The 11372-nt window shown below is 42.4% G+C and overlaps 1 annotated feature.

Moving 5' to 3' along the window:
- Nucleotides 10834–11003: an enhancer, noted in NCBI's record as "experimental_82030 CRE fragment used in MPRA reporter constructs". NCBI's record gives its function as "activates a minimal promoter by MPRAs in K562 erythroleukemia cells, with activity observed for the non-introgressed 5:148309561 variant allele {active_cell/tissue: K562}" and the evidence as "EXISTENCE:reporter gene assay evidence [ECO:0000049][PMID:34662402]".

The following is an 11372-nucleotide window of genomic DNA, read 5'->3' on the forward strand; positions in this document are numbered from 1 at the left end:
CCCATTCTGTAGGTTGCCTGTTCACTCTGATGGTACTTTCTTTTGCTGTGCAGAAGCTCTTTAGTTTAGTTAGATCCCATTTGTCAATTTTGGCTTTTGTTTCCATTGCTTTTGGTGTGTTAGTCATGAAGTCCTTGCCCATGCCTATGTCCTGAATGGTATTGCCTAGGTTTTCTTCTAGGGGTTTTATGGTTTTATGTCTAACATTTAAGTCTTTACTCCATCTTGAATTAATTTTTGTATAAGGTGTAAGGAAGGGATCCAGTTTCAGCTTTCTACATATGGCTAGCCAGTTTTCCCAGCACCATTTATTAAATAGGGAATCCTTTCCCCATTTCTTCTTTTTGTCAGGTTTGTCAAAGATCAGATGGTTGTAGATGTGTGGTATTATTTCTGAGGCTCTGTTCTGTTCCATTGGTCTATATCTCTGTTTTGGTACCAGTATCATGCTGTTGTGGTTACTGTAGCCTTGTAGTATAGTTTGAAGTCAGGTAGCGTGATGCCTCCAGCTTTGTTCTTTTGGCTTATGATTGTCTTGGCAATGCAGGCTCTTTTTTGGTTCCACATGAACTTTAAAGTAGTTTTTTCCAACTCTGTGAAGAAAGTCATTGGTAGCTTGATGGGGATGGCATTGAATCTGTAAATTCCCTTGGGCAGTATGGCCATTTTCACGATATCAATTCCTCCTATCCATGAGCATGGAATGTTCTTCCATTTGTTTGTGTCCTCTTTTATTTCATTGAGCAGTGGTTTGTAGTTCTCCTTGAAGAGGTCCTTCACATCCCTTGTAAGTTGGATTCCTAGGTATTTTATTCTCTTTGAAGCAATTGTGAATGGGAGTTCACTCATGATTTGGCTCTCTGTTTGTCTGTTATTGGTGTATAAGAATGCTTGTGATTTTTGCACATTGATTTTGTATCCTGAGACTTTGCTGAAGTTGCTTATCAGCTTAAGGAGATTTTGGGCTGAGACGACGGGGTTTTCTAAATATACAATCGTGTCATCTGCAAACAGGGGCAATTTGACTTCCTCTTTTCCTAATTGAATACCCTTTATTTCTTTCTCCTGCCTGATTGCCCTGGCCAGAACTTCCAACCCTATGTTGAATAGGAGTGGTGAGAGAAGGCATCCCTGTCTTGTGCCAGTTTTCAAAGGGAATGCTTCCAGTTTTTGCCCCTTCAGTATGATATTGGCTGTGGGTTTGTCATAAATAGCTCTTATTATTTTGAGATACATCACATCTCCAACGTTTGAATTATGTATAACAAGAGTTATTTTTATATTATGTTTATAATAAAATTTTTATTAAATGTTAATGCCCCACAGATGTGGAATGGGATATTTTAAAAAGGAGGCGATTGGGAGGTCTTTGGCTACTTATCAAAAAGCAGGGTCAGTGGCAAAGTGGCAGCTCGGAGAAGAGGAACACAGGAGGGAGGAGACAGTGGAGTTAGCAAATGGTGGCTCCTCTGTGCTTGTATGTCAGATGGAAGAGAGGGAGCCAGGGAAGAGAAGAGATTGAGGGGTACTGCAAAAGCCCTTGAAGGGAGGTCCAGGGAGGAGGAAGGGAAAGATAAAATCAATCCAGTGGAAGGGCACATTTAGTAGTGAAGGAAGGAAGGCAGGGAGATGGTGGATGACAGTCTTGAGAGTTCTGAGAGATTCATAGGTGGCCTCAGACTTATCAGTAAAGTGGTGAGGAGGTTATTTCCTGAGATTAGGTGATGTAGAGTGGGGTAGTGGTGGGCTTGGGCTGGAGGCTGGAGGAGATTAGAGTGTTTGACTTCTGACTGTGCTCAGAAAGTGTGGGAGGGAGTTTCTCCTCCTCATTAGCCCCCAGCCAAGGCTCTTCCCACTAGCAGAACTGGGTGATCCTCCCATTCCTGGACTCCACAGTCCAGGTTTCCAGACCTTGTTGTGCCAGCCACCTTTGGCACCCTCCAGCCACGGCTCTTTGTTTTCTATAGCATCCCTGGGGATGTGAAGGTAAGGAGGGGCAAGAGGGTGGGTGGCCTGTGGCTGCTACTGCTAACAATGCTGCTTCCGAGTATTTTGTCCCTAGTGGAATGGGACTTTTTGTTAAGGGAGGGAGACTGGGTGAGGCTCAGTAGAGTGTGCTAGAAGTGCCTGAAAGTCCTCAGAGCCCATCTTTCCTCACACCCTGGGTCAGCTGGAGATTATCAGACCATGCATCTGGGTTTTCTGTCTGAAACTAACCAGTAACTCACTAGTATGATGATTTTATTACTGCTGAAATTGTCCTCAGGAAATGGCATTTGGAATGTGGAAGGAGAGAAGGAGGAAAAGGAGGATGGGTAAGAAATGAGAAGAAAAAAGGAGGAGGTGAGAAGTATCAAAAAATGGGGGAGACAGAGATTAGCAGTATCCAGTACTGCGAGCACAAATCTCAGAAGGAAGTAAAGAGGGAGAGATGATAAAACTGAATGTGTGCCCTGGAGCCAGAGGGTTTAGAGTACAGGGTGAAGCACTTTAGTTATTTACTTTAAGCAATAAGAAGTGGTAGGAGCCTATGATTTTTGCTACTAAGGACCCATCTTCTTCCTGTCATACTTGGAGGCTGGCTCAGGAGAATGACTGACCTGCACCCAGTTCCTCCTCTGCCCTAGCCCAGGCTTCTAAGGTAGACTTATGTTTAGGAGGAGCATCCATCCGAATTTAAAAACGTGAGTCAGGATAACTCTGCTGAACTAGACTAAAATGACATCTACACCAGATGAAATTCAGTCAGAAGCAGACCAGTACCTGGTGATGGCAAGGTTAAACCTTCTCTACTGCTGTGTTGAGATTCAGAAGGCTCTGGGCCAGCTGCAACAAGAAGAAAAGATCTAAGATACTAAGAAAAGAAGGCTTGGTATCTAAGAATACCAGAGCTGAAAGGAATTTATTTTTTTTGAGATGGAGACTTCCTCACTCTGTCACCCAGTCTGGAGTCCAGTGGCGCGATCTCAGCTCACTGCAACCTCCGCCTCCCTAATTCAAGCAATTCTCCTGCCTTGGCCTCCCAATTAGCTGGGATTACAGGTTCCTGCCACCACACCCAGCTAATTTTTGTATTTTTAGTACAGACGGAGTTTCACCATGTTGGACAGGCTGGTCTCATACTCCTGACCTCAAGCGATCCTCTTGCCTTAGCCTCCCAAAGTGCTGGGAATATAGATGTAAGCCACAGCGCCCGGCGAAAGGAATCTTAAAGATCATCGAAACACAATTCATCCTTTCCTCCTCTGTCTCTGTAGCACTTTTTGCAGATAGCATGATGTATTGTAATTTATTGCCATGCCTCTATCAAAAAACCATATTTTCTCCACTGCTGCATTGTCAAAGCATGGCATCTAGCACAGAACAGGTTTAGTGGATGTCTGTGTTTGTTACCTCCTATCTTACCCTCTCATTTTACTGATGAGTAAAAAATAGTCCGAAAACCTAAAGAGACATTCCAAGCTACTAACTTCCTCAGGCTAACAATACACTGACCAAAGGCTTAGCTCAGCCTGTTGTGTTCAGGTGAAAACATGAAGGTTTTCCACAGTGTCCAGGGAGATGGAGAGAAATCAGTTCCAACACAGCATGTCCTGTGTAGAGGCAACTTGGGAGCTAGGTTTTGGAATGTAAGCTTTTGCTGAATGTTGTAAGCAGAAAAAATTTACCAGTTTCTGACTCTAACCCCATGGTAGAGTGTATGAATCACCATTTTTCAGTTTTGCATGAAGAAAAGCCCCCATCTCCTCTCTAAAGGGAGTAATGAGCCCTTTGAGTCTTCTCAGATGTGTTCAGAAAGTACCTTGAGTAAGGCTTGGTGCCAGTGCCGAGGTGAGAGGCTGAGTTGTGTATCAGGAACTAAAAAGGATGAATCTTTAGGTTAACCCTTTGTATAACAGTCTCTGGCTTTCCTCAGATGAAAACAGAGAAGGTGAACTCCTTCTGCAACAGTATTTGCCAAAATGTTTTCTCAGAACACTAGTGCCCACATATGTTCTTGGAAAGAAAAACATGGCTCTGTGGCCAAGAAAGATGGATGAATGCTACATTCTAAACTTCCTTTAGGGGACTCGCCATGTGCATTAGCACACTAAAGGCACTGAGAAATCCTGCAGTGAGAAAACCAGTTGAACTTTGTTCAACCCAGTATTGCACAAAATTATGTCCCTAGGGAACACTTGTTCCATGTCACACTTAGGACAATAGCTCTCAGATTTTTTTGCTCACAGTACATAAATCCTGGAAGTTGGGGCAGCATACTTGAAACCAGTGATATGTACAATGTGCATATCTTTCTCTAGTCTTCTCTTCTTCTGAGCCCTCACCAGAATCACCTTTAACATTCCATTCATATCAATATAGACTTTTTCCAGGATTAACTTCAAAACTGTTTCAGTCTCTACCCCTACCAGTTCCAAAGTTTCTTCCACATTTTCAGGTATTTGTTACTAGCAACAACGTCACCTCTCAGTACCAATTTTCTATCTTAGTCCGTTCTGCATTGCTGTAACAGCATCTCTCAGACTGGGTAGTTTATAAAGAAAAGAAATTTATTTCTTACAGTTCTGGAGACTGGGAAGTCCAAGATTAGGCAGCCACATCTGGTTGGCTTCCGGTGGGAGTCTTTTGCTGTGTGATAACATAGCAAAAGGCATCACTGGGTGAGAGAGGCACACTGAGAGCCAAAATGGCTTTTATAACAAACCCACTCTTGTAATACTCCATTAATCCATCCTCTCAATACTGTTATATTAGACATTAAGTTACATCAGCTCAACATGAGTTTTAGAGGGGACAAATATTCAAACTATAGCAAGTTCCTTTGACCATTTTTTAATCACATTATTTACTTTTTTGCTATTGAGTTCTAGAGATTTCTTGTATATTTTGGATATTCACCCTTTACCAGATATATGGTTCTCAAATATTTTCTTCCATTCTGTAAGTTGCCTTCTCATTTTGTTGGTTGTTTCCTTTGCTGTGCAGAAGTTTTTAGTTTGATGTAGTGTTACTCATCTGTTTTTGCTTTTGTTGCCTGTGCTTCTGGTATCATGTCCAAGAAATCATTGCCAAGGCATTTGTTATTTTTTTGAAGCCATCTATCAGAAAAATAAGATAACTCTTAATTAATACTCATTAGGAAAATTATGATAAATAAAAGGGCATCAGACAAAAGCAAAGGCCGATGGATCCTATTACTGGCTCTACTGTTCAATGAGCCCTGAGGCTCAATTTCCTTAGCAGTAAAAAATGGGTTAGATTCAGTACCCTTTAGAATCCTTTCAATGCCAATATTATTCTGACTTCTAAAAGAGGCAAGAAATAATTTTAAAACTAATACGTAAAAGAGAAAGTGAAGGATTATTAACAAAATCAATATTTAATAATTATTTATTTACCATTAACATTTATTGGAAATGTTACAATGTACCAGACATTTTTCCAAGCACTTTGTATTTATTATCTATTTAGTCTTACAGCATTCCTATAAGCTAGGTGTTATTATTACCTTGTTTTATAGATAAGGACGCTGAGGTTTAGAAAGATTAAGTGGCTTAGCCAACACAACACTGTTAGTAAGTAATGGAGCTGGGATTTTAATCCAGCTGTCTGACTCTAGAGCCACTACACTGTTGATTTTCCAAAATACTAAGCTTAAAAATTTTATAACAGATGCTGGTGTGCATATCTTTTTATGATATGAAATGTGTGTGAAATACAAATCTAAGAAAGGAAATATAAACACCTAAAGGGGCAAGATTTCTAAAGGGTCAGGTTATAATAGCAAAATCAAATTGTTCAGCCAGAACACAGACGGGAATCTATTTCATGTGTGCCCCCGGAGCCTGACATGTGGATCCCAGGGTTGCTAAGTTGGCACAGCAAGTTTCCCGAGTTGGGTTCAGGAAGCAGTGAGGTAAGCTTCAGGGTGAGTCCCAGAGGGAGGAAACTGGCAGGCATCCAAGGGAAGGTGGTGTGAGCCCGACAATGGAAACTTAGAATCCTGTGTCTCTGAACTACTAGGAAACCTAGAGGTCATTCCATCAAACCTTTCACCCAAACAAGGCACTCCCTTTATAACACCCTGTGGGCGTTTATCCAGCCTTGTCCTATGGATTCCCAGAGATACAGTTTGCTCTACATATTAGACAGCCTGTTTTATTGCTGGACACCTAAAGATATTAGAAAGCTATGTTTCTTTTAATGAGACAAAATATGCCTTATGGTGATTTTTACCAAAGGTCCTCGATCTGCCTCCAAAAAACCTGAAAATGCCATTTGACCCCCTTTCCTATGACAGGAATCAGAAATTAGAAGACTAATTGAGTCTTTTATGACCAACTTAAACTTCCTTGTGACAAGTTTTGTCCCTTCACCATCTCAGTCACCATCCTGTTGGCATTATCATATTGGCCAAGGCCTACAACTCACTGACCATGGTGTCGTTTATGGGACCTAGCCAGGGGCCTGCCACACAGTTACAGACACAGTGTGATTATTTGAACTGAACTAAGAAACTGCAAGAGGAAAATATGGGAAAAATGGTAACCTGGGCCCTTGACAGCATTGCTTAGACAGCATCTAGTTCTATCTCTTGATCTGGGCCCCTTTTCCAGATCCTCCATGGCAAGAGATATTTTCCCCACATGCTGAAGTTGGGGAACATTGATCGCTGCCCCAGACTTGAAAGAGGAGTTTTGGGGATCACCATTATGACATCAGTACCTAGCCAGGGCCTGGCCTACAATAGCTACCCAATAAACACTGAACAAATGAATGAGCAAGAGAAACTTACGGTGCACCTACTAAGTTCCAAGTACTTAAGTATGTTCTGCTTATGGTACATATTAAGTACTTAAGGTACATACTACCTTATTCAAACCTTACAACTTCATAATTAAAATATGAACATACCCATTTTACAGATGAGGTAACTGAGAATCTGAGAGGTTAAGAAACTTGCCCAAAGTGACTCAGTTAGTAAGTGGAAAAGCCATGATTCAAACCCAGACTTGCCTTTCTCTAAAGCCCATGCTTTTAAAAGCATCACAATATCTCCTGAAGGAAACAAGGAAAAACAGACAGGATGCAGATGGAAAGACAAAGTGACTGGAAAAAGAAAATGCATGTATTATAAGGTAGTTTTGTGAACTGTGAAATTTTCTGTTACAGGAAGCATTGAGGCCTGTCTGTGTGGAAGGAGGACCCTCTAGACCAGTCCCATTGGGCACCCTGGCTTCTTGGCATTCGCTTCCTCCATCCCTGGCATTTCTTCTAGGCCCTTCCCACTTCCACTGTGCCCTTTGAACACTAGCAAGAACACCGCTGTCTGGTTTTATCCCAAGGCAGGCCACAAGGGCTTTACAGGGCACATGTCCTGTGCCCAGCTTCATGAGTAACACCTACACTAAAAGAAATCACAGCCGGATTCCAATATCCCAGGTGTGTGTACGCTAACGGGGACACTGAGCCACAGAGGCCATGGTGGACTGGGTAATGAGCCAATGTTTACATCAGACCTGTGCTCACCAGCCATTATTTTCAAAGCAGCCAGAGAGATCTTACTTAAAAAGCAAATCAAATCTCACCACTTTCTGTTCTGCTTGAAACTCTCATGGCTCTCCCTTGCATATAAAATATAATCTAAACTCCTGTGAGGTCCACCAGACCTCCCCCGACCACCACCTTCCCAGCCTCATTTCATGCCCCCTCAATTCCTGCACTGGCCAATTTTCATTGCCTCCCTCCTCCCTGCCTCAGGTGCATGCTAGTCCCTCTATCCAGAATGTATTCTTTCCTATGCTCCATGGGGACAAACTCTTGCCCCTCCTTTGAGTCTCTATCTAAACCTCATTACCTCAGTGAAGCTATCCCTTAGCCCCAGGCCAGGTTGTGGTCCCTGGTTATAGTACCATAAAGCACCTCTATTCCTTCACTACCCACTTCCAATTATTTGTTTAAAGTTTATCTTCCCTGATAGAATCTAAGCTCCACACAGGTATATCTGATGTGCTTACCATTCTCTCCCAAGAGCTGTAGTAATCATGGAGGATATAGTTGAGGGTTATGTGGGTGTTCTAGCCCAGCCACTTACTCTAGTCAGTTATGTGCCTCAAGCAACTCCCTTCTGACCTCTCGGCCTCAGTTTCCCCAACTGCAAAATAAGACAGCTGGGCTGAGTAACCTCTGAGTTCTCTCATGATTCTAATGTTCCAGGTTTGACAACTTGAGGACCCTTATGCTATAGCTTCAGCCTAAAGCAAAATAATTTTAGAGCAATGCCACTCAGGAAGGAAGACCCTGGGAATGTAAGTCCCCTCCTTGGTGTAGGCCGTGTTTACATAATAAACCCAAGAAATCATCATAAATCATTCCAAGTGGAGCTCCCTGGGTTGAAGCAACAAGACAAAAATACCTCTGGGCTCTGTTCCTCTGGGCCCCCACCCAGCTTAAGAGAAACAGGGCCAGCCAGCACTGTGCCTTCTGAAAAATCAGTGGTCAGAATTTTCTTTCTGTACAGGGCCCCTCAATGCGCCCTTCTCTCCTACCCTTTGAACTTCGATTCTCTTCTAGTGCCTTTCTGTTTTCTAGTGCCTTACAAAGAGAAAATGTCCTGAGAAGACCAGGGACTGAGTTCTAGGTCAGCCACTGCTGAGATGTGTGTAACTCTCCATAAATAATTCCTTCCTTGTGATCCATAGTCTCAGCTCTGTTGCATAGGGGTTATAGCTGGCCTCTAATGACATTGAAAAAACACATGGGGGAAATATTTTTTAAACCTTAAAGGGCCATACAAATGCATGGATTGCTTTTGGCCATTATTTCTGACTTGTTCACTAACTAAAAGGTACTCAAGAGGCCACCTGGAGTTTCTATTTTATCTCTAATTGGAGAACGAAAAGTTTGGTCCTCAGGTCAAAAAGTCTCAGGCATCTGGGTAGCAGGTGGTTGAATTGCCCTGGACTGGCCCTAAAGGCAGATCTAATTCAAGGCTTCAGTATGTGCCTGAGTTTGGGTCAGGAACCATAACTTTAAACCAGCTTTAGTCCCAAAATTTGCTACCAGGTTCAAGAAAGTCTTTTAGGCCCTGTGGCCTGAAAAGGTTTAAAGTAGCAGTGTAGCTGAGGGGTTCAGAGAATGTACTTTGATGCCAGACAGGCCTTGGTTGAGTTTCTCTCTGCCACTTGCCAGCTGTGTGAGTTTCTGTTTTCTCTTCAAAGAAATAGAATTCACTGCTCTCATTATGGAAAGTGCCAATGCATGTGAAGCATGTAGCTTAGTATGCATGCAACTGGTTAGTCATTCAAAAAGTCATGTTATTGTTATTGCCCTTTGTATTCCAGAGCCAGAAGCCATACCCCCCACCCACCCTAGCCTTGTCCAAATTCCCTGAGTATTCTTTCCACTTCCTGCCTTGTCTAACCCTGGCCTTGCTCATCTTGTTTTCCTCTCTCCAACAATTCTACAAGACAGATACTTCCACATTTACCTTATTTTACTTAATATTGCTCAGGACATACCTCTGCAAGCAAAAGTTCTGGAAAAGGAAGTTTCTTGGTCAACAAGTATACTAAATTCAAGTGCCATTACAGAGACACCTGGGCATCTAAGCAATAGATGCTGAAGAAATAGATGCCCGGACCATTGGAGGCTGAAATTTTTTAGATCTGGCTGTGCCACTATGACAATTGCCAAGATATTTAACATTCTCCAGCCTTTAGGCTTCCTAGCTGTAGAACTAAAACATCAATTTTAAAAATGTATAAACCTTTTATTCTAGCTAGACGAAACTCTTTCCCTCTAATAAATCTTTTGCAGAAGCCCAATATATAAAATATTTAACCAAATACAATCTGCTACAACTGTAGGAGGGGAGGACAGACTCGTGCCTGATGCCTTTTCTCATCTTCTCCTGGTCTTGCCCCTTCCCCTCATCCCCAGGGCAGCCTGGAAGCTCCCATGCATATCCATAAGGCTTCATAGAGTTCCATTTATGTGACCTCTTTGTGCCTTATTCCTTACCTGTTGAAAGAGGATAATAACTAATTCTAATTCAAAGAAAAATAAAATGAGTTAATATAGATAAAGCCCTTGGCACAGTGCCTGGCCTAATATAAGTGCTCAGTAACTGTTGGGTGTCACTGTTATTACTGCTGCCACTTGATTAAGGTGTCTGCCAGCCAGAAGCATTAGGCACCTGTGACCTTTAGAGGCACCATGAAAACACGCAAATGTACGGAGATTGTTAATTGCCCCCACCACTCACCACCCCACTCCATTGTCTTCATGGACACAGTTCGAAATATCATGTTATTTCACAAGACGGGCAAATTCTGTTTCTACTGAAAGCATGTGTTTTATAAAACAATATTTTGGTCACTCCTTGATTTATTTGGCAAACATTTACAGAGCTCTCATTCTGTGTGCCAAGGTTGAGGCTAGGAATATAAGTTGAGTCTAGAGAACTCACAATAATGATACCAGTCTATGTTTTGTGGCTGGTGACCCATGCAGTCATTCAACCTGCAAATATTGTGCTTAACTGTGAGCCACACAGTATGCTAAGGATGCAGCCACAGTCAAGAAACACCACTTTGGGAGGCCAAGGCGGGTGGATCACGAGGTCAGGAGATCGAGACCATCCTGGCTAACACGGTGAAATCCCGTCTCTACTAAAAATACAAAAAATTAGCTGGGCGTGGTGGCAGACGCCTGTAGTCCCAGCTACTCGGGAGACTGAGGCAGGAGAATGGCGTGAACCCGGGAGGGGGAGCTTGCAGTGAGCCGAAATGGCTCCACTGCACTCCAGCCTTGGCGACTGAGCAAGACTCCTCCTCAAAAAAAAAGAGACACCAAGCCCCAGCCCTGCGGAGCTTGCTTTCTATGGGGTAGAGGTAGAAAGGGCCCTAGAAATGACAGGGAAGGGAAGATCCACAGGTGCCAAGGATTAGGAAGGTGGAATAGGGATGAAAAGTCAAGACTTCAGCAGAGCTGGATTCAAGAGAGGAATAAGGATGTAACCTCAGGTGAGGTGGGACTACAGAGAACAGCATGTACAAGTTATTTATCCAAGAGATTTCCAAGAACACTATTGTTTGCTTCCATTAATTTGCTCCGAAGAGGACATATTCTACTTTTTTGGGCACCAACTTTTTAAAAAATAACCTCTTACATAAACAATTATTGAAGGGACATTTGTCATAAGCAAATCTTAAACTCATTCTAGAATTAATCTTCTCTATGATTAATAGACCAGAATCTTGTTTCACACAACTTTCATTCTGGGAAGTTAATTTGAAAAAAAAAAAAAAAAGTCAATTTCATTTAAAGGAAACTGAGCATGACTTGAATATGGTACACAGGAAAGAGCT

The sequence above is a fragment of the Homo sapiens genome, chromosome 5 (genome assembly GCF_000001405.40).
Source record: "Homo sapiens chromosome 5, GRCh38.p14 Primary Assembly".
In the NCBI taxonomy this organism is placed as follows: Eukaryota; Metazoa; Chordata; class Mammalia; order Primates; family Hominidae; genus Homo; species Homo sapiens.